The sequence below is a fragment of the Homo sapiens genome, chromosome 8, assembly GCF_000001405.40.
Source record: "Homo sapiens chromosome 8, GRCh38.p14 Primary Assembly".
Taxonomy (NCBI): Eukaryota; Metazoa; Chordata; class Mammalia; order Primates; family Hominidae; genus Homo; species Homo sapiens.
Window position 1 is genome coordinate 127,434,137 of NC_000008.11, and position 24,724 is coordinate 127,458,860.

General features: G+C 42.1%; 1 long non-coding RNA gene across 2 annotated transcripts in view; it reads right to left on the reverse strand.

The window, feature by feature from the left end:
• The window catches only part of CASC8 (cancer susceptibility 8), a 192,464-nt gene that overhangs the window by 144,461 nt on the left and 23,279 nt on the right, over positions 1-24,724 (reverse strand). The window contains exon 5 of one of the 2 annotated variants that reach the window (NR_024393.1): positions 9,214-9,584. The exons of the other annotated variant lie outside the window; for it this stretch is intronic. This is a non-coding gene — a long non-coding RNA (cancer susceptibility 8). Of the gene's footprint in view, positions 1-9,213; positions 9,585-24,724 lie in introns of those variants that run through there. 2 annotated transcript variants of the gene reach the window in all.

Here is a 24,724-nt window from a genome sequence, read left to right on the forward strand (position 1 = left end):
AACGCTGGTCCAAGGCTCTCTGACTGACTCCTTCCCAGATCTTCTCGGCTTAGCAGCTGAAGACTGACACTGCCTGATTGCCTCGGAAGCCCCCTAGACCATCACGGACGCCAAGCTTTGGGTTACTCTCACAGTGGAAGGTAAGCCCGTCCCCTTCTTAATCAATATGGAGGCTACCCACTCCACATTACCTTCTTTTCAAGGGCCTGTTTCCCTTGCCTCCATAACTGTTGTGGGTATTGACGGCCAGGCTTCTAAACCTCTTAAAACTCCCCAACTCTGGTGCCAACTTAGACAATACTCTTTTAAGCACTCCTTTTTAGTTATCCCCACCTGCCCAGTTCCCTTATTAGGCTGAGACACTTTAACTAAATTATCTGCTTCCCTGACTATTCCTGGACTACAGCTATATCTCATTGCCGCCCTTCTTCCCAATCCAAAGCCTCCTTGCGTCCTCCTCTTGTATCCCCCGACCCTAACCCACAAGTATAAGATACCTCTACTCCCTCCTTGGTGACCCCTTACCATCTCATTAAAACCTAATCACCCTTACCCCACTCAACGCCAATATCCCATCCCGCAGCACGCTTTAAAAAGATTAAAGCCTGTTATCACTCACCTGCTACAGCATGGCCTTTTAAAACCTATAAACTCTCCTTACAATTCCCCCATTTTACCTGTCCTAAAACCAGACAAGCCTTACAAGTTAGTTCAGGATCTGCGCCTTATCAACCAAATTGTTTTGCCTATCCCCCCTGTGGTGCCCAACCCGTACCCTCTTTTGTCCTCAATACCTTCCTCCACAACTCACTATTCCGTGCTTGATCTTAAAGATGCTTTTTTCACTATTCCCCTGCACCCCTCGTCCCAGCCTCTCTTTGCTTTCACTTAGACTGACCCTGAGACCCATTAGGCTCAGCAAATTACCTAGGCTGTACTGCTGCAAGACTTCACAGACAGCCCCCATTACTTCAGTCAAGCCCAAATTTTATCCTCATCTGTTACCTATCTCGGCATAATTCTCATAAAAACACATGTGCTCTCCCTGCCAATCGTGTCCGACTGATCTCTCAAACCCAAGCACCTTCTACAAAACAACAACTCCTTTCCTTCCTAGGCATGGTTAACGTGGTCAGAATTCTTACACAACAACCAGGACCACACCGTATAGCCTTTCTGTCCAAACAACTTGACCTTACTGTTTTAGCCTAGCCCTCATATCTTCATGCAGCGGCTGCCGCTGCTTTAATACTTTTAGAGGCCCTCAAAATCACAAACTATGCTCAACTCACTCTCTACAGTTCTCATAACTTCCAAAATCTATTTTCTTCCTCATACCTGACGCATATACTTTCTGCTTCCCGGCTCCTTCAGCTGTACTCACTCTTTGTTGAGTCTCCCACAATTACCGTTGTTCCTGGCCCAGACTTCAGTCCGGCCTCCCACATTATTCCTGATACCACACCTGACCCCCATGACAGTATCTCTCTGATCCACCTGACATTCACCCCATTTCCCCAAATTTCCTTCTTTCCTGTTCCTCACCCTGATCACGCTTGATTTATTGATGGCGGTTCCACCAGGCCTAATCGCCACACACCAGCAAAGGCAGGCTATGCTATAGTACAAGCCACTAGCCTGCCTCTTAGAACCTCTCATTTCCTTTCCATCGTGGAAATCTATCCTCAAGGAAATAACTTCTCAGTGTTCCATCTGCTATTCTACTACTCCTTAGGGATTATTCAGGCCCCCTCCCTTCCCTACACATCAAGCTCGAGGATTTGCCCCACCCAGGACTGGCAAATTAGCTTTACTCAACATGCCCTGAGTCAGATAACTAAAATACCTCTTAGTCTAGGTAGATACTTTCACTGGATAGGTAAAGTCCTTTCCTACAGGGTCTGAGAAGGCCACCGCAGTCATTTCTTCCGTTCTGTCAGACATAATTCCTCGGTTAAGCCTTCCCACCTCAATACAGTGTGATAACAGATGAGCCTTTATTAGTCAAATCAGCCAAGCAGTTTTTCAGGCTCTTAGTATTCAGTGAAACCTTTATATCTCTTACGGTCCTCCGTCTTCAAGAAAAGTAGAATGGACTAAAGGTCTTTTAAAAACACACCTCACCAAGCTCAGCCACCAAAAAGGACTGGACAATACTTTTACCACTTTCCCTTCTCAGAATTCTGGCCTGTCCTCGGAATGCTACAGGGTACAGCCCATTTAAGCTCCTGTATAGACGCTCCTTTTTATTAGGCCCCAGTCTCATTCCAGACACCAGACCAACTTAGACTGTGCCCCCAAAAAAACTTGTCATCCCTACTATCTTCTGTCTAGTCATACTCCTATTCACTGTTCTCAACTACTCATACATGCCCTGCTCTTGTTTACACTGCCGGTTTACACTGTTTTTCCAAGCCATCACAGCTGATATCTCCTGGTGCTATCCCCAAACTGCCACTCTTAACTCTTGAAGTAAATAAATAATCTTTGCTGGCAGGACTATGCTGAATCTCCTTAGGCACTCTCTAATCGGATATCCTGAGTTGTCCCAATTCTTAGACCTTTTATACCTGTTTTTCTCCTTCTGTTATTCCATTTAGTTTCTCAATTCATCCAAAACCGTATTCAGGCCATCACCAATCATTCTATACGACAAACGTTTCTTCTAACATCCCCACAATATCACCCCTTACCACAAGACCTCCCTTCAGCTTAGTCTCTCCCACTCTAGGTTCCCACGCTGCCCCTAATCCTGCTTGAAGCAGCCCTGAGAAACATCGCCCATTCTCTGTCCATATCACCCCCCAAAAATTTTAGCCACCCCAACACTTCAACACCATTTTGTTTTATTTTTCTTATTAATATAAGAAGGCAGGAATGTCAGGCCTCTGAGCCCAAGCCAAGCCATCCCATCCCCTGTGACTTGCACATATACGCCCAGATGGCCTGAAGTAACTGAAGAATCACGAAAGAAGTGAATATGCCCTGCCCCACCTTAACTGATGACATTCCACCACAAAAGAAGTGAAAATGGCCGGTCCTTGCCTTAAGTGATGACATTACCTTGTGAAAGTCCTTTTCCTGGCTCATCCTGGCTCAAAAACCACCCCCACTGAGCACCTTGTGACCCCCACTCCTGCCCGCCAGAGAACAAACCCCCTTTGACTGTAATTTTCTTTACCTACCCAAATCCTATAAAACGGCCCCAACCTTATCTCCCTTCGCTGACTCTCTTTTCGGACTCAGCCTGCCTGCACCCAGGTGAAATAAACAGCCATGTTGCTCACACAAAGCCTGTTTGGTGGTCTCTTCACACAGACATGCGTGAAAAATTTCAAATAATATTTTATTTTTGCCTTAATTTTGATGTTTGCCCAGGAGTTATTCAGGAGTAAATTGTTTAATTTTAAAGTATTTGTATAGTTTTAAGAGCTCTTCCTGATATTGATTACTATTATTATTGCACTGTGATCCCAGAGTGTGCTTGGTATTATTTCAATTTTTTAATTTATTGAGACTTGCTTTATGATCAAGCATGTAATGGACCTTAGAATACATTTTTTTTGTGCAGATGAGAAGAATGAATATTCTGTTATTGTTGGGTGAAGTGCTGTGTAGATGTCTATGAGGTCCAATTGGTCAAGTGTTGGGTTTAAATCTAGAGTCTCTTTGTTGGTTTTCTGCCTTGATAATCTGTCTAATACCGTCAGTGGGATGTTGAAGTCTTTTACTATTACTGTTTTCATCCAAAGCAGTGATAAGAGAAAGTTTATAACCCTGAATGCCTTCATCAAAAAGTTAGAAACATCTCAAATTAAAAATCTAACTTTGCACCTAGAAGAATTAGAAAAAAAAAGAACAAACTAATCCCAAAGAAAATAAATCATTAAAATGAAATAGAAGAAAATAATTAAATTAGAGAACTTAAGGAAGTTGAGATGCAAAAATCAATACAAAAAATCAATGAAAGCAAGAGTTTATTCTTTGAAAAATAGACTGCTAGCTAAATTAACAAAAAAAATGAAGGAGAAGATCCTAACGAGCACAATCAGAAACAACAAATGATATTACAGCTGATCCCACAGATATGCAAAAGATCCTCAGAGACTTATGAATTTATGAACAACTCTATGCACACAAATTCGAAAATCTAGAAGGAACAGATAAATTCCTGGAAGCACACAATCTCCCAAGATTGAATCCGGAAGAGATTAAAACCCTGAATAGACTAATATCAACTTCTGAAATTGAATCAGTAATAAAGATCCTAACAACAACAACAACAAAAAAGCTCTGGACCAGATAGATTCACAGCTGAATTCTACCAGGCATACAAAGAACTGATACTGATTGTACTGAAACTATTCCAGAAAATTGAGGAGGAGGGACTATTCCCTAACTCATTCTGTGAAGCCAGCATCAGCCTGATACAAAAATCTGGCAAAGACACAATGAAAAAAGAAAACTCCAGGCCAATATTCCTCATGAACATAGATGCAAAACTCCTCAACAAAATATTAGCTAACCAAATCCAGCAACACATCATAAAGTTAATACACCATAATCAAGCAGTCTTTATTCCTGGGATGCAAGGTTCGTTCAACATACACAAACCAATAAATGTGATTCACCACATAAATAGAATTAAAAAGCAAAAAATATATGACCATCTCAATTGACACAGAAAAAGCCTTCAATAAAATTTAACATATTTTATGATGAAAACCCTCAACAGACTAGGCATCAAAAAATATACCTCAAAATAATAAGAGCCATCTATGACAAATCAGCAAACAGTATCATATTAAATGGGCAAAAGGAGGAAGGAATCCCCTTGAGAACAGAAACAAGACAAGAATGTCCACTCTAACCACTCCTATTCAACATAGTACTGGAAGTCCTATCCAGAGCAATCAGGCGGGAGAAAGAAATAAAAGACATTCAAATAAGAAAAAAACAATTAAACTATCTCTTTTTACTGATGATGTGATTCTATACCTAGAAAATTCTAAACACTCTACCAAAAGGCTCCTAGAATTAATAAACAATTTTAATGATGTTTCAGGTTACAAAATCAATGTACAAAAATCAGTAGCATTTCTATATACCAACAATGTCCAGACTGAGAATAAAATCAAAAACACAATCCCACTTATCATAGCCACAAAAAGGATGAAATACCTGAAAATTCAGCTAACAAAGGGAGTAAAAGATCTCCACAAGGAGAACTGCAAAATGCTGCTCAAAGAAATCAGAGATGACACAAATAAATGGAAAACCGTTCCATGATCATGAATTGGAAGAATCAATATTGTAAAAATGGCCATACTGCCCAAAGCAATTTACAGATTCAGTGCTATTCCCATCAAATACCAACATCATTCTTCACAGAGCTAGAAAAAACTATTCTAAACTCTGGTTTCTATATAAAACCAAAAAAGACCCTAGCCAAGGCGATCCTAAGCAAAAAGAACAAAGCCAGAGGCACCACATTACCCAACATTTAAACTATACTACAGGGCTATAGTAACCCAAAGAGCATGCTACTGGTACAAAAATAAACACATAGACCAATGGAACAGAACAGAGAGCCCAGATATAAGGCTGCACACCTACAACTATCTTATCTTTGACAAAGCTGACAAAAACAAGCAATTCAGAAAGGACTCACTCTTTAGTAAATGGTGCTGGGATAACTAGCTAGCCATATGCAGAAGATTGAAGCTGGAACCTCACCTTTTACCATATACAAAATGGATCAAAGATTTAAATGTAAAACCTCAAACTATAGAAATTCTAGAAGACAACTTGGAAAATACTCCTCTTGACATCAGCCTTGGCAAAGAATTTTTGACTAAGTTCCCAAAATCAATTGCAACAAAAACAAAAATAGACAAGTGGGACCTAATTAAACTAAAGAATTTCTGTACAGCAAAAGAAACTATTAATAGAGTAAATACATAACCTACAGGGTAGGAGAAGATATTCAGAAACTATGCATCCAACAAAGGACTAATATCCAGAATCTATAGGAAACTTAAACAAATCAACAAGCAAAAAACAACCCCATTAAAACATAGGCAAAGGACATGAATAGACAGTTCTCAAAAGAAGACATACAAGCAGCCAACAAACATGAAAAAAATTCTCAACATCATTAATTGAAGAAATGCAAATCAAAACCACAATAAAATACCATCTCTCACCAGTCAGAATGGCTATTACTAAAAAGTCAAAAAATAACAGGTGCTGGTGAGGCTGTGGAGAAAAGTGAATGGTTATACACTTTTGGTGGGAATGTAGATTAGTCCAGCCACTGTGGAAGGCAGTCTGGAGATTTCCCAAAGAACTTGAAACAGAGCTGCCATTTGATCCAGCAATTGCATTACTGCGTATACACCCAAAGAAAAATAAATTATTCTACCAAAAAGACACATGCACTTTTATGTTTATCCCTGTGCTAATCACAATAGCAAAGACGTGGAATCCACCCAGGTGGCCATCAATGGTAGAGTGGATGAAGAAAATGTGGTCCATACACACACAGTGGAATACTATGCTGTCATAAAAAAAGAATGAAATCATGTTCTTTGCAGCAACATGGATGCAGTTGGAGGCCATAAACCTAAGCAAATTAACGTAGGAACAGAAAACCAAATATCACATGTTCTCACTTATAAGTGGGAGGTAAATATTGAGCATACATAGACATAAATATGGGAATAATAAATAGTGTAGACACTAGAAGGGGTAGGGAAGGAGGGAGCATGGGTTGAAAAACTACCTTGTGGTTACCATGCTCACTACCTGGGTGATGGAATCTGTACCCCAAACCTCAGCCTCATGCAATATTCCCATGTAACAAACCTGCACATGTATCCCCTGTATCTAAAATAAAAGTTGAAATTAAAAATAAATGTTAACTAATATTTATTGAAGGCACACTGTTTTATTTATTGAGAGTATACTAGTATTTATTAAGGGCCCTGTGTCAGGCTATATATATATATATTTTTTTTTCCCCCCAACGCCTCTGAGTCAGGTAATATTAGTTTCCTCATTTTACAGATGACAAAAATAAGTCATAGTACCTTGCCCAAGGTCTGACAGCTAGCAAACGGGAGAGCTGGATTCTGAACACAGGCAGGCTCCAGAACTTAAAACTACTATGCAATATTGCATAGTAGTTGCAGAACTTAAATAATAGTACTATTGCATAGTGTTATGCAATAATTCATAGTATAATGCAGAACTGAAAAATGCTGTCACAATATCACTATGTTGTGCTAGTCATTGCACATTCTCATCTCTTCTTCTGGCTGTAAGCTTCTGAATAGGTGGGAATGAGTTGCATTGTATCTCCTGTCTTTGGTACAGTGTCCTATTCATGATAGAAAACATGCTTAAAAGAACTAGAAAGACAGGGAGGAATGGGATGACACCTGCATTTTGGCAGATGTTTTAAAAATTCTGGAAACCGAAGGAGCAGTTGGCCAGTCACAGGCTGTGTGTGCACATGTGCTTGACCACTCTCTCTATTCCCCTCTAGTCAGAACTTAAACATCTTTTCATGGAGCTCTGCTGTGGAAAGCCTAGAAATACATTCTACTCTCTCTAAAAGCAACAACTAAAAATACACAAATTAGCCAGGTATGGTTGTGGGCACCTATAATCTCAGCTACTCGGGAGGCTGAGCCAGGAGAATTACTGGAACCTGGGAGGCGGAGGTTGCAGTGAGCTGAGATCATGCCATTGCACTCCACCCTGGGCAACAACAGCGAGACTCCATCTCCAAAAATAAAACAAAAATTGAGAACATAATCCACAGGAATGAATCTCCAGTGTAAGAATGGTGACACTAAGATATCCAAGAGAGGGATCTTAGACTCAGGACAGGTTATATGCAAAAGACAGTTTACAGCCTTAAAGGTTATAGAATCCAGCCTGCTACTGAGAAAGCAAAGGCTAGAGACATCCCAAGATGACACAGTGGACGACCAAATGCTCACCACTGTTTTCTGGGGCTCTAACTCCAGGCTGTTGATTCTCAGGAAGGGTTGTTTTTCATACTGCCCTTTCAAATTACAGCACCTTTGCTGCCTCCATCTAAAACTGGCCCTTCCAACATCTCATCAACTTTTACATTCTGATGTCCCCATTTCAGAGAGATTTCTTTGAAACAGAGCCAGCCCTTCCAGTAAGCATATATAACAGAATGGTGATTTCAGAGAGTGGAGCCTGGTGGAAACAAAACCCAGACATGTAAAATTTGACACCTTAACCGACATAAGTGCCCACATTCCCTGCGTTTTCCCACTCTCTGCCTCACCCCACCTTCAACATGCCCATAATTTTATTCTGAGGAAAACCACAACCAGCACTTACCACCAGAGTCCAAATTCCCTGGCAGCAGCCTTGCTTTTAAAAGGGAGACATAAAAAAAATTGTCAAGACCTATGGGGCTTCCTAACACATTAAAAAGGCCCTCAAAAACTGTGTTACACCAAGCATAATATTATCTTTTTCTTTAAGAGATTTCTTAATTGGTTCCATGCAAAAGGTTTGTAGGTAATGGGTTTTAAATAAATAATAATGTTCCACCACCCTGACTGGCCAAGAAAGTAAATGCCTTTTTCCCTGACTTGGGTAAGCACTGGGATGGAAAAAAGGCCTGTGTGAAAATTTTGGCCTCACCGTAAAAAGGCAAGACCTCAATCTGGGGACTCAGATGTAATCAACCATGGTTTAGTTTCAGTAATTTGGTTGCAACAATTATTTGGCAAGCATAGTGCTAGGTATTGGTGGGACGGAGATGACAGACTGTATAACTGAATGCTCAGAATAATTAAGTTAAATGTATTTATTTTATTTATTTTTTATTTTTATGTTTTTGAGATGGAGTCTTGCTCTGTCACCCAGGCTGTAGTGCAGTGGCTCAATCTCAGCTCTCTGCAAGCTCCGCCTCCCTGGTTCAAGCCATTCTCCTACCTCAGCCTCCCAAGTAGCTGGGACTACAGGCGCCCGCCACCACACCCGGCTAATTTTTTGTATTTTTAGTAGAGACGGGGTTTCGCCGTGTTAACCAGGATGGTCTCGATCTCCTGACCTCATGATCCGCCCACCTTGGCCTCCCAAAGTGCTGGGATTACAGATGTGAGCCACCGTGTCTGGCCATTAAGTTAAATTTATTAATAATTAACAAATACGTTAATTAATATTGAATAAAGGAATTTTATTTGGGCTTCAGTCTTTCTGGGCTCCTCACAGTTACAAAAATACAGCATACCCTTCTGGTTCTCAAGGAGTTTCCAATGCAGATCTCTGATCTGGAGTGCCTCTCTTCCTTTTTGCCCTGAAGGTAGTCAGTGAGGCTCATCAGAAATTTTCTGATTCTCTTCCTTCCAGATACCTCCTTATGCTTTTGAACTCAATTGTTGCCATGGGCTTGATTTGGCCAGTGAAATGTAAGTGAAAGCAATGTTTGTCTCTTCAGGTAGAAGCTGAGAGCCAGTGCTTACTGTTGTTTCATTCTCTCTCTTCCTCTTGTCACTTTCCAAATGGTAGCGGCCCTATCAGCCTGGGTCCTGGCATGAAGAAACACAAAGTAACACTCTCCCAAATTACCCATAACAGACATGGAATACGGAAGAAATAAATCTTATTATGATCTCAAGTTCTGAGAGCTGTTTGTTACACAGCGTAGCATAACCTAGACTAACTGATTTTTACCTCATCTACCCATTTACCATTTACCTAACTCTAATCATCCTTCAGCTCTCTGCTTCATGGTTACTTCACAAGAGCTTCATAAGATGCCAAAAAGTTCATTTCAATAGTTTCCAAAGCTTCCTCAATATAATGCTTATCATGATATTAAGATTGTTAGTTAATTTATTTATAGCCCATGATTGGTTATGAGCTCCTTGAGAGAAGAGTCTAAGCCTCATACACAATCTTATCTTTAGTCTATAATGTAGTGCCTGATATAAAGTGCTATGGTTTGAATGTATGTGCCCCTCCAAAATTCATTTTGAAACTTACACAACACTAGTAAAAGGTGAGGCCTTTTGAGTGTGATTAGGCCATGAGGACTCTGCCCTTATAGATGAGATTAGCAACCTTATAAAAAGACCAGAGGGAACTAGCTAGGCCCTTCTGTCCTACCTCTTCTCTTATGTGAGTACACAGAGTTCATCCTTTTTTGTCCCCTTCCACTGCAATGAGGGCACAGTAAGAAAGCTCTGTCTTGGAAGGAAAGAGTAGCTTTCACCAGACACAGAATACACAGAATATACTGGTGCTCTAATCTTGGACTTCCCAGACCGTATAACTGTGGACAATAAATGTGTACTGTTTATAAATTATCCAGTCTCTGATATTTTATTATAGCAGCACAGATAACTAAGACAGAAATTGGTACCAAGAAGTGGGGTGTTCCTATAACAAATACCTGAAAAATGTGGAAGTGGCTTGAAATTGGGTAATGTGTAGAGACTGGAAGAGTTTGCAGAATCAGACTAAAGAAATAGCCTGTATTTTCATTAACAGAGTATTAAAGTAATTCTGGTGAGGGCTCAAATGAAAACAGCTGCAGAGAGAACCTAAATTATCCTAGAGACTAAGTGGTTGTAAACACAGTATTCATGGAGATACAGACAGTGAAGGCCATCTTGATGAGGTCTTAGGTGGAAATGAAGAACAAGGCATTGGAAACCGGAGGAAACGTCATCTTTGTTATAAGTTGGCAGAGAACTTGGCAAATGGTGCCCATGTTCTAATGTTTTGTGAAAGGCAGAAGTTATAAGTGATATACTGGGATATTTGGCAGAAGAAATCTGTAAACAAAGTGTTGAGAGTGCTGCATGACTGTTTATAGGAAAAGACGAGAAGGGAGAAACAACTTAAAGACACAGCTTATAATCAAAAGGGAAGCAGAACTTAAAGCGTTGGACAATTCTCAGCCCAGCCATGTAAAGAATGGAAAGGTACTGTTTTGGAGAGAATAATCCTAAGGGTGAGGCCAAGTGACTCTTTGACAAATAAATTAGCATACCTAGAAGGAAGCCAGATGCTATTCCATTAAGACAATGGAAGAATGACACCAAAGTCATTTCAAAGATCTTGGAAGCCGCCACTCTCATAACAGGCTCAGAGTGCCAGGGCCCTGAAGGCAGAACAATTTCATAGGTGGTACCTTGAGGCTTCATCACCCAGGACTGCCTCAGGCTTCTGCTCCACTCATTCTGGCCCAACACTCTTTGTCTGTTGCAGCTGTAGATCCTCAAGTGCACCCAGGTGTGGTTCAAAGTGCTAGTCCGGAGAGCATGAGGTAAACCCTGGCAGCATCCATGTGGTGCTAACTGAGCAAATGCTCAGAGTGCGTGAGCTAAGCAGGCATGGCTACCTCCTCCTCGATTTAAAAGGATGCTTATGAGAGCCTTGGGGCGTAGGCAGAGAACTGTCACAGTGGCAGGGCTACCACAGATAGCCCCTACTAGGGCAATGCTTAGTGGGGGCAGGGCCACTCCTGAGACCCCCCAGCCTGTGCAGCCACCAGCATGCAATGCCAGCCTGCAAGAATAACAGGTATGTGACTCCAACCTGTGAAAGCTGCAGCATAAGCCGCGCCTAGCAAAGCCACGGGGATGAGGCTGCCCAGAGTCTTGTGGGGACCAACCCATATACCAGTGTGTCAAGTAGTCAGGAATGGAGTCAAATAAAATTATTTTCAGTCCTCCATATTTGAGTGTTATTTGCCTTGTTGGGTTTCGAATGGGAGTGAGACCTATTACTCCTTTCTTCTTTCCTATTTTTTTCCCCTTTGGAATGGGAATATCCATCCTATGCCTGTCCCACCACTGCATTTGAAGCACATAATAAAATGTATTCATTCTATCCCAATAATTCCAAAAATCTTAATTAATCCAACATCAACTTTAACTTATAAATCTAGAGTATCATCTAAGTATCATCTAAATCAGATATGGGGGAATTCTTCTCCAGCAGTCTGCAAAATCTGACAAGATATAGATATCTATATGTCCACATACGTAACTATAACTATCTGTTGAATTCATTCTCTAACCACTTCTATCAAGTCACTGTGCTAAAACTTCTTACTTAATGCTCATTAGTGTTACACACACACACACAAAGACACACACACACAAAGACACACACACTTGCTGCTAGATTTTACTCTCTTGGTGGATTTTACTCTCTTGCTGCTAGATAAGGGGTACCTAATGCAAGATGTACCTATCTTAGAGTTTGCACATCATCTGCATTATTGAACGTAAAGTAAAAGCCAAATGAGGGAAAAGAGACGTTGACTGTTTCATGATCATTGTCTTACCTGAAACAATTAGGAAGTCACCGTTCAGCTTTGCAGGCTATGTAATTGTCATATATCATGAATGGCTGATAAGGGGTTGAATCTGTGAGGTTTTCCCATAGAGGAAAGGGAAATACTGATTCTCACTTTAGCCAACAGCAGTTGTCTCTAACTCACCCAAACTGCTGAGAAGAACTTAAGAACTATTTTACTGTGCTCTTTTTCTTATTTATTTATTTAGAGACAGAGTCACATTCTGTCACCCAGGCTGGAGTGCAGTGGCGATCTCGCCTCACTGCAACCTCTGCCTCCTGGGTTCAGGTGATTCTCCTGTCTCAGCCTCCCTAATAGCTGGGATTACAAGCATGCACCACCATGCCCAGCTAATTTTTGTATTTTTAGAAGATATGAGGTTTTGTCATGTCGGCCAGGCTGCTCTCAAACTCCTGGTCTCGTGATCCACCTTCCTCAGCCTCCCAAAGTGCTGGAATCACAGGCATGAGCCACCGCACCCAGCCTTTAAGAGCTATTTTATTTCCAATGCAGAATGGAACCTCAACACCATCATGGATGAGTTCCAGATTCATAAGACTTTAGGCCTACAGCGGACATCAGACACAATCTAACTGAGCTCCTTCACTGTAGAGATGTGGGAAAGGAGGCCCAAGATAGGAAAGAGACTTGCCCAAGGCCACACATCTGGTTAATGGAGAACAAGAGACAATACTCATTTCTCCCAACCACCATGCCAGTGGGAGTTCCAGGTCCACCCTGCCTGAGAGCTTCATGACCACCTCCAAGATGGCCCAACGCTGCCCTTCAAAAGGGGTCAGTACCTGGGCAATCTGATGGTGAATTCATTAGAGGTGAAATAAATGCTTATAAAAGGGAAAATGGAGACTTGTAATTCTACCTCTTGATTCTAAGAAATCCTTTCATTGGGTCTAGAGTGTTCATAAATCTCTATAATTTGAAAATTGAACAGCACAGTTTTCTATGAACAAGTGCAAAAACGGGGTCAGAAGTCAGGAAAATTGTAAAGATGGGATGTGACATTGCTGCTTCCCCAATCTTTACCTACAAAACCTCTCCTTGCTCTCTTCCATTCTATCAAATCCTAGTCTCAGACTATTCATTTACACTAAGATGTAAATGACTGACAGCAAAGTGGCCACTTTCAGGGGCATTTGGAGACAAAGGGATGACATTGCGATTATTGACCTATCACACTGGGGATATCAGAGCCAGAGAGAAGACGTGGAGTCTGAAAAGAAAAGCTGTTCCCACAACAAAGAATTATCCAGCCCTAAATATCCATAGTGCAGAGGTTGAGATATCCTGCTCTGGGTTACAGAAAGTTGCATAAATTCCTAGCATGAATCATCAGGTGGGCACCTTGAGAGCAATCTGCCATCTCCACAACTTTGTACCTTTGCCTTTTTTTCCAAAAAGAAAGGGTCTAACCAAACCATGCTTATGACCAGCCTCAGCCTCCCATCAACTGGCACCATTGGCATCCTGGCCCTTGTGTGTCTGCACAGTGCCTGCTACACACTTTCATTAAGTAACTCTCAACCTTACAATAATTCAGGGAAAGGAGACAGTATTGTTATTCATACCCCACATACAAAGAAACAAAGAAGGAGGCAATTTACCAGGTTTTCACAGGGAGGAAGAGGAAGGGTCAGAATTCCAATCCAGACTGATCCTAGCTCCAGAAACTAAACTATCACACTATCACACTTCAGACAGGAGTGCAGATTATCAAACACTAACTATTTTAAGAAATGTTCAGGGGCGGAGCAAGAGCACAGGTGCCATCCAGTGCTGTTTGTGGAGAGGAGGTATTCGGAGGCCACAACGTAGGGCAAGGCATTTCTTCCTAGGCTGGGTATGATAGGTAGAATAATGGCTCCCCCAAAGATGTCCACATCTTAACCCCTGTAACCTGTGACTATTACCTTACACCATGAAAGTGACTTTGCAGATGTGATTGAATTAAGTGCCCTGAGTTGGGGAGATTTTCCTGGAAGAATCAGGAGGGCTGCATGGAATCACAAGGGCCCTTATAAGAGGGAGGCAGGAGAGTCAGAGTCAGAGGAGGTGTGAGGATGGAAGCAGAATTTGTAGGGGTATGGGCGAGAAGCCAAGGAATGCAGATGACCTCTAGAAGCCGGAGAAGCAAAATGGATTCTCTCCCAGAGTCTCACAAGGAGTGCAGTCCTGTGAACACCTTGATCTTAGCCCAGTGAAGCTGATTTCCAGCTTCAGACCTCCAGGACTTTAATGATAATAAATTTGTGTTGTTTTCAGCCACCAAGTGTGCAATAATTTGTTATGGAAATCACAGGAAGCTAATATATGAGGATTGCTACATAAAGTATAGAACACACAGTCCAACTTGAACTTCAGATAAACATCAAATAATTTTCTAGTATGAGCATGCTCCATGCAATATTCATGTGTCCTGTATTTTCATTTGCTAAAACTGGTAGCCCTAACCGGCTTCCCCCTCCCACTCAGCCCCTGCATCCCCAAAGCCCTTTCCCAGGTCTGCTCTGTTACAGTGGTATCATTATACCTGCTATTCTGGGGTTAGTCTATGACTCAACCGAGTGAAACTGTTAAGGCCTCAGATAAATAGCTCTGAGGGAAAGTTATTATTCTATATCATTGCCTATCAATTATTTATAGTTTATAATGCAATGCCATTTGTAATGGGTAATATGTTTTTCTATTGTGTTGTAATATCATCCAACTCATCAGAACAACCATTGGGGAGATGGATTGGCTTGATGTAAATAGCAGTGCCTAGTAACAAGCTGTGTGCATTTTTAAACCTGGAAATCACTGCTCTTTCAGATAAGAGGAAACTCTTCTTTGAATTCAAACAGAAGGGTCCAAGCCACCTTTTCTGACAAGTTGATTTCCTGAGAAGCAGGGCAGGAACTAGGGCAAGGCAAATGTGTTCAGGGTACAAAATGTAAGGAGGCTCTCCATTTCAGGTGCCGACCCTGCACTTGCAGAACGTGAAAATGAGTGCTGCTTTAAATCTTGCACCCTGGGAGACTCACTTGCTTCACTCTAGTATCGACTCTGCTAAGAAAACTCACATGAAGCCATCAACAAACGCCAAAGCTAACCTAGCCTCTTTACATGGCTTATGGGAAACTGAGGCCCAAAAAAATGTGGACCAGCCAAGATTCAATTTGCTTAGTGACTAGTGGACCTAATGGTTGCTACTGCAGCATCAGCTGCTTCTGCCAACACCTACCTACTGAGTTTCAGCCAGAGGCTTGAGGTTCGCACTGCCCTCCCAGCCCTGGGACAAGGCCCTGTCTCAACTGGATTAAGCAAATCAGTATAACTTCGTATCCCTGATCCCAGTGATTGAACACTTAACTCAGTCCTAAGCCAGTAAATAGGTTGTATGTCCCTGGCCACAGTTGTTAGCTCCAGGATATACATGTGGGGCAGGGTGAAGCTCATGACTTTGATTCACGGAGAGAGAAAATGATTCCTCTTTCCTTTGGAGGGTGTGGAATACAAATAGAAAGTCTGGAACTGCTGCAACCATTTATTACCATGAGAAAAGCCAGAATGGGAATGAAAGCAATCATATATAGAAGGGAAAAGGTGAGAGAATCATAAAGGGAAACCAGATTCTTCACCGACTCCCATCTAAAGGACCCACTACCTCTGGACTATTCTGTTATATGCACCAATAAATTCAGATTAATATTTAATCCAGTTTGAGTTAAAATATTCTGTTACTTGTACAAAAGAGGTTCCTAACTGGACAATGACCTTAGAAAAGCCAAGTTCTACAGCTACATTGCCCCATAGAACTTTCTGCATTGATGCAACTGTTCTATATCTGTGCTGTTCGATACAGTAAGCCACTACCTGCGTGTGGCTATTGAACATTTGAAATGTGGCTAATGTGACTGAGAAATGGACTTTTAAATTTTGTTAATACTAATTCCTTTCAATTTAAACAGCCACACAGACCAGTGGTTACCATATTGGTCCATGCAGCCCTACAAGCTTCTTTTCCTTCATTTCATTTGTTGCCTCCTCCAGAAACCAGCTCCAGATCCTTTCTTTCCTCCAGAGTTGGTTAGGCTGATCTTTTCTGTGATCCTATAGCAACTGAGCATTCCTCTAAAATTGTGATTGCCTCTCTTAGAATAATATCTTTTACCGTGTGTATCTCCCACCTTTGGTTGAGGTTTTAAAAGGCAAGGCCCATTCCTGTGTCCAAGCACTGAGCAGAAGCATTGCCATGGTGACTTTTGAATTGGATGAGATAATCTGTGGCCCAAATGTGTACCAGATGTTGAAAGGCTTTGTAGCTTTTAAGAATGTAAGACAATATAAAAATGTTTGCTATCATTATTAGTTATTGTTACTATTTCTGATTGTTAACCTTGATCCACTTCTCAATTTTCTACAGGAGTCTCAGTCACTGCCCTCGAATGACTAGAAATTTGCCCAGCCTTGTGACATCTGTGACCATCAGTGTCAGGCTCACTGGCTTCTTACCCCTCTGCTGCCTTGACTTTCTTTTTCTTTTCTTTCTTTTTTTTTTTTTTCCTTGAGACGGAGTCTCGCTCTGTCACCAGGCTGGAGTGCAGTGGCGTGATCTTGGCTCACTGCAACTTCCGACTCCCCTGTTCCCTGCTTTAAGCAATTCTCCTGACTCAGCCTCCTGAGTAGCTGGGACTACAGGCACACACCACCACGCCCAGCTAATTTTTGTATTTTTAATAGGCACAGAGTTTCACCATGATGGCCAGGATGGTCTTGATCTCCTGACCTCGTGATCCGCCCACCGCGGCCTCCCAAAACTGCCTTGACTTTCTAGCTCAAATGTCCTATTTCCCTAATTATCTGGCTTGGTCCTCTTAGTCTGCCACCTACACACTTGTGGGTGAGAGAGGAGGAGCTGGAAGACAATGCAGAGCTGCAGTTAAGGCCATTGCAATTGCCAGGGTGTGCTATGTGGCTTCGACATGCTTAGAAGCCAGTATGGTTTGGCTGTGTCCCCACCCAACTCTCATCTTGAATTGTAGTTCTCATAATTCCCACATGTTGTGGGAGGGACCCAGTAAGAGATAATTGAATTTTGAGGCCAGTTTCCCCTATACTGTTTTCATGGTAATGAATAAGTCTCATGAGATCTGCTATTTTTATAAGGAGTTCCCCCTTTCACTTGGCTCTTATTCTCTCTTGCCCGCTGCCATGTAAGACATGCCTTTCACCTTCCACCATGACTGTGATGCCTCCCCAGCTCCCATGTGGAACTGTGAGTCCATTAAACCTCTTTTTCTTTTTATAAATTACCCAGTCTCGGCTTTGTCTTTATTAGCAGCATGAGAACAGGCTAATACAGAATCCTCCTCCTTGAGATGTGCTTCCTGATCCCAGGCCTTTACACCAGGGGAATTCATCAAATTCATTCATCTCCTTAACAAATGTTACTGAGTTCCTAAAAATTGTCAAGCATGTGATGAGGCACTGGGGTTCTGTCAGTGAAAAAGACAAAGTTTCTGTCATACTGAAGGTCACGTTCTAATAGGGGAGACAGACAGAAATAATACACCATATAAATAAATGGCTACAGTAAAGAACAATCGAGTGTGGGAATAGAGGGGAAGCAGGCAGGTAACTGCAGTGGACCAGAAAAAAGCAATGGTGACAAAGTCCAGAGTGGTGGCAGGTGAGACAATGGAGTGTTATCAGATTTGAGACCAGGAACTTCTTAAGAGTCCTTTTTCTTTTGCCTTTGGTCTCACTCCTTGATTTATTCCAGCTCTGCCAGATCAGATCTTGTCTTTACATGCCCCCACCCATTCTCAGATACCCTCTGTGCCTTAACAACTAATAACCTGTTGGTTCTTTCCAGGGAATAACTTGTACTCAGCTTCTGGGGTTCCCTAGGCTTTTCCACTGGAATAAAATTTTCTCCTAGCTGAGCCCACTGTCCAATTAAGGATCAGACAAAATTTAGAAGAAGCAAGTCACTTCTCCTTTCTGGATCTGTTTCTTCCTGTGCAAAAAGAGATGTTGCACAAGATAATCTCTGGTGCCCCTTCCAATTTAATATTTTATAATTACAGCCTAGGTTTTGAAGAATAAAAATATAATAAGAGAAGAGAGAAAGAAAGAGATGAGGAGTGGGGCGGGGGAAGAAAGGGGAGGAAGAGGAGGAGGAGGAAAAGCAGGAGAAAGGGGAAGGGAGAGGGGGAAGGAAGAAAGGGAGGGAGGGAAGAAACCTATTTGTAAGGCCAAGTTAAAAATTCATTGCCACAATAAATACTTCGGTGTGAGGCTGTAGAAATTGGCAAAATGAAAAAATTCTGGCATGTAAACCCACAGGTGAGTCCTAGGCTAAGAGAAGCATCTTCTACCTCCCTCACTTCCTGATCCCCATCCCATTAGCATTTCTGAAATGCCTGGAAAGATGCTCCCTAGCAGGGTAGAGTCAGGAACCCACTGTCTGTTCCTTTCTCATCTAATCTGAGCATTGGAAAGATGCTCCCTAGCAGGGTGGAGTCAGGAGCCTGCTGTCTGTTCCTTTCTCATTTAATCTGAGCATAATCTGGTGCTTTGGGCTGTGGAGCGGATTTCTCTCTCCAGTCTGTTTCTGCCTGTCCTGTCTTGAGGTGCACTAGGCAGGGATCTCAAGTGTGTCCTTGGCCTGCAGTGGGGACTTGTGCATCTGAAGGAGCAATCAGGCAGGTGGCCTGGGGCAGCCTGCTCCATAACGATGCCCTCATTCCCAGGAGCAAGACTGAATGCCAGTTACTCAAATCCCATTCCTGGCTTTCTGCTTCAGTCATTACTAAGAGTTTTTCATATCTTCTGGTGTTCAGGAAAATATTTCTATTTTCAGGAGAAGCAACTCTGCCTTATACTCGAAAATTAACCAGACATTCTATTATTGCTGAAATTCTTTCCTCGTATTGCATTTTATTTAGGCTTTTAAAAATCCTTTATTTATGCAGTTTGAATCAGGGGTATTTTCTGGCTTACAGGTTAGTAGAGAATTACAAAACATTCAAAATTTCAAAGATTCCCTAAGGGAGAAGTGATCTATTCCAATATGGGCTTATATTCCAGAAAAAAAAAAAAAAAAAGCGTACTCCCAGAAAGATTTGTCTGGGAAATGATTGCAAATGAGAAAACTCACTCAGATGTGAGAAATGATACCGCCCTGGACTTTCATGCTGGGCCCTAAGAATTATGACATGGATGTAAAAGAAGATTGCCACAAGTCGCCAGCTTGCCTGCTCCTTAAGATGCTTGAAGTCCCCAGTGAAAGCTGAGAAACATGAAATTACTTCTGAATGTGCCCACAGACAGGACAGTGTAAATTGTAATGACAGAGAAAAAGACCTGCTGCAGGCCTCCCTCACGCGATCCCAAGTGAGTTTTACAGTCGTGTAGTAGGATAGAGTGAGCCTCATTCTAAGGCTGACGAAGCTGAGGCTCAGTAACCCCAGTTTGATCAACTTGAGTCAGCAAGCTCAAAACTGGTGAAAGCCAGATTTTCTTATTTTTTTTTTCTACCCAGGCCTTCTACAACAGGTCTCTACAACTAGTGTCTTTTATGACCCAGTGCTGCTTTCTGATTGGGAACATACCAAGTTCAAGGTCCCCATGTGGTCCTGTATAGTATTCACAATACTATATAGTATGCAACTGTTCTATATCTGTGCTGTTCAATACAGTACTATATATAGTATGCACAATTTCCATGCAAGGAAAACATTTAATATCTTACAATGCACTTTCACACTTAGCATCCCACTTGACCCTTACAACAACTTCATGGGGTAAATATTTATTTCCCTGTTTATGAATAAAGAAATTGAGGCTCACGTTCTGTTAAAGCCATTGTTATGGCCTTAACCCATTCTATTATGCCTCCAAGAACACACAAAATCTGGTGGCTGTTCTGGGAGCTAACAAACTCTGCTTTAAGTCCTAACTCTGCCATTCTCCAACTTTGTGACCTCAGGCAAAATGCAAATTTTTTCTGCATCTCAGTGTTCACATGCGATAACTAGAGGGAAAGAGTACTTGCCTCATACGGCAGATTCTTCATTCATTCTACAAGCATTTATTCAGCATCTACTATGCTCTAAGTTCTGGAGATACAGTAATGAACAAAACAAAAGCCTCAGCATTTGTGGAGTTATGTTCTACTTATGGGAGACAGAAAAGAAAATATATTGCATTTGAAGGTGATAAATACTAAGAAATATAAAACAGGGAAAGAGAATAGGGAGTATTGGAAGGAGGAGTTCAGTTCAAATCAGAATGACCAGGAAAGACTGCAATTGAGAAAGCAACATGCAGTGAAGACTTCAAAAAGGAGTGAGGGGCCAGGCGCACTGGAGGAGGATTACTCTTGTAATCCTCGCACTTTGAGAGGCCAAGGCAGGCCAAACACTTGAGCTAAGGTGTTGGAGGCCAGCCTGGGCAACACAGCGAAACCCCATCTCTACAAATACAAAAAAATTAGCTAGGCATGGTGGTGGGCTCCTGTAGTTCCAGCTACTCAGAAGGTGGGGATGGGAGAAACACTTGAGTCCAGGAGGTCAAGGCTGCAGTGAGCTGAGATTGTGTCACTGCACTCCAGCTTGGGCAACAGAGTGAGACCCTGTCTCAAAAAATAAAGGGAGGAGTGGGCGGTGAAAGAGCAAGCTTTGTAAGTATCTGGAAGAAGAGCTTTCTAGGCAAGAGGAAACAGCAAGTTTAGAGGCCCAGAGGCAAGACACTGGGAGGGTGGTGCCTCTGTGTTCCAGAAACAGGGAGGCCATGTGGCTGCACTGGAGTGAGCGAGGGAGAAAGAAGTAGGAGGAAGATCAGAGATGTAACTGATAGTGCGAGGATGGGACACTAATTATGCAATGCTTTATGGGACCATTACAAGGACTTAGATTGTTTTCTCTAAAAGTAATTGGGAGCCATTGGAGGCTTTTGACGTAGGAGTGCCATGATCTGACTTCAGTTTTACCAGGATCACTCAAGCTGCTATGTTGTGTTAGACCGGAGGGATCAGGTGTGGGAGCCAGTTAGGGAGATGTTAAATGTTCTCTAGGAAAAGAGGATGGTGGTTTGGGCTGCAATGGTAGCCATTGAGATGGAGAAATGGTAGGAATTGGGTTTTATTTTGAAATCGAGCCAACAGGGTTTGCTGATGAGTTATATGTGAGTGGGAGAGAAGGAATGGGACTACGAGTTTCTTGGTCTGAGTAACTGCTTTTCACAAGAATGAGAGTATAGAAGAAGCAGCTCTGCAAGAGTGAGAAAGAACTGAACAATGAATGTATATTTTCTCCAGCTATACAGTGTCCAGCACAGAGTATGTGTTCCATAACAGGTAGATATTACTATTAATAATGTATCTGCTCACCTGGTTAAATATTTCTGCAGACCTTTGCCCTACATCCAAGCACTCTGAGAAAGCACATGGTCAGGCTGTTTTCCACCAGCAAATGGACCACAGAATCTTGGTACCATAGTGGTTTTTAAAGCCCATTGGCTACCCAAAACCCCTTTGACCCATCAAGCGTGCTCTGGACTCAATACCTTTGCACAGGCTGATCTCCCTCTCCACCCACCCTTCCTTCCTCTCAGCTTCTCCATACAGGAAATGGACAAAGGCACAAACTGGAAGTCAGTGCAGATTCAAGCTTTGGTTTTGTTCAGAGAGTATTCCTTAATGCTCACAGAAAATCTAGCCCAGCTTCTCCTATTACAAAACTGGAAGCTGAGGACTAGAAAGATGAAGTGGCTTGCAGCTTCCCCATCAGTATGACAAGGAAACTGTATTAAATAATTCCCAAGGATTCTTCTAGCTCTCACATGCTTTCAGGTTTTCAATAAACACAAGATACAATAAAAAGCAATCAAAATAATGACCAGCTGATTTTGCTTTCCTTCATTACCCTCATCTAAGCCACCAGCAAACTCTGCTAACTCTTCCTCCAAAATAGATCCCACTCTGTCACTCCTTTTTTTTTTTTTTTTTTTTTTTTTTTTGAGACGGAGTCTTGCTCTGTCACCTAGGCTGGAGTGGAGTGGCGCGATCTCGGCTCACTGCAAGCTCCGCCTCCCGGGTTCACGCCATTCTCCTGCCTCGGCCTCCCGAGTAGCTAGGACTACAGGCACCCACCACCACGCCCAGCTTTTTTTGTATTTTTAGTAGAGATGGGGTTTCACCGTATTAGCCACGATGGTTTTGATCTCCTGACCTCCTGATCCACCCGCCTTGGCCTCCCAAAGTGCTGGGATTACAGGCTTGAGCCACTGCGCCCGGCCACTGTCACTCTCTTTTTATGGTCACCACCATGAGACAAACCACCACCACCTTGAAATGAACAGCCAGAGCAGCCTCTAACTGGCTTCTTTCCCCTCCTTACCCTGGCCCTCCTACTTGCTATATGCATGTGACAGTCTGAACGATCTGTTGAGAATTTGAACCAAATGTATTTACTTCTTTTCCCAAAACCTACCAGTAACTTTCTATCATGTCTTACCTTGGCCAATCAGGCCTTACATGATCTGGCCCCCATTTTTCTCTTTGACCAGATCTTGCACCACTATCCCCTTATCTACAAGCCTCTCTGACCTTCTGCCTGTGCCTTTGATATTCCAGGCTTCCCCTCTCTTTGGCATTCAGGCTCCTAAGAGGGCCACCCCACCCACAGTGATTCCCACCTCTCCATATTCACATCCTTTGTGTAGGCTGGACCTAGTGCTTTGCCTTTAAAGAACAGAATATGGCAAAGGTGATGGGATGTCACATCCACGATTAGGTTGCAAAAGACTGTAACTTCCATCTTATTGGCTCTCTCTCTCTCTCTCTCTCTCTCCTTCTCACTTTCTCACTCAGATGAAGCAAGTTTCCATGTTGTGAGCTGCCCTGTGAGAAGGTTTACTTGCTAGGAACTAAGAGTGGCCTCCAGCCAACAGCCAGCAAGGAAGTGAAGCCCTCAGTCTAACAGCTTGGGAGAAACTGAATTGTGCCATCAATCATGTGAGTGAGCTTGGAAGCTCTTCTATCCCCAGTCCAACCATAACAGGACTACATCCCTGGCCAACACTTTAATGACAGCTTGTGAGAGACCCTGAGACAGAAGACTCAGCTAAGCCAGGCCCAGATTCCTGACCCATAGAAACTGTGAGATAAAAAATATTGCTTTAAACCATGCAATTTTGGAGTAACATATTATACAACAATAGACAACTAAAACACCCTCTCGGAACATTTTCTCTTCTTTTTCTCTCAGCCAGAAATTCTATTTCTACTCAGGTCTTCCAATGGTTGGCTCTATCATGCAGCCTCTCAGCCCAGATGTCCCCTTCTCAGGCCTTATTCCCTAGCTAACTCTACACTCAGCCCATTACTCTGTTTCATTATGTTTATCCACTTTTAACTGCTGGAAAGATTTTATTTATTTACTGATTTACCTGTCTTCTCTATCGTAATAAAAGCTCCTCAAGAAGAGGAACCTTCTCAGATATGTTCATGGCGGAATCTCAGCTCCTAAAATAGAGCCTGGAACAAAGCCCCCTTCAATAATTACATGTTGAATAAATAAATGAAGAAATTATGAATGAAAAGGAGTTGGGGGTGGGGGAGGAATGGAGATGCTCTTCCACATGATTTTTTTAAAGCTCTAGGACATTGGACCAGCATTTGCTCTCCTGATTTATCCCATTTGTCTGCTTGAGTACATTTAAATTTTGAAGGACCCCAGGTTGTTTGTTTCTTTCAAAGATTACCCCCTAACTTCAATTTTCCTGCTTGAGTTTTTTGCAGATCTCAGCTGAATTTCAGGGTGGCAAAAACCCACATCCTCTTCCGCTGGCTCCACCTTTCTCTTCTCCTCTTCTGCAACCCACCGACTAGTTTCAACACATCTTTCCTTCTAAGTGAAGAGCATTTAAAAGATTGTAAAGCTTATTGAACTCTTACAACACCATATCTTTATTTGTTAAGTACCAATGACTCAAAAATAGAGTAGTCTCTCCTGAAATTCATGTGGTTTTACAAATTACGGAGGAAGTTCTAGGCTCAGTGTGGATTGCCAAGTGGTGAAAATTTGTTATGTATCTTTTGCAAGGCTCCGTTTTCTTCCTTTCTACTGTCATTTTGTCTGTAGCTTGAAGGAATAGAGTGACTTATATCCCCATATTGTCACAGAGAATAGAGAATAAAAGATCATCCCATTTTTAAGGGCCCCTCCACCGAAAAATACCAGAGGATTTTGTGTTTGCTTCATTCTTAAATGCGGCCCATAAATGAGAACATTCATCCAAATGTCCAAATAATATTTGAAAAGGGGTTTCATTGAGAATTTCATTAGTAAT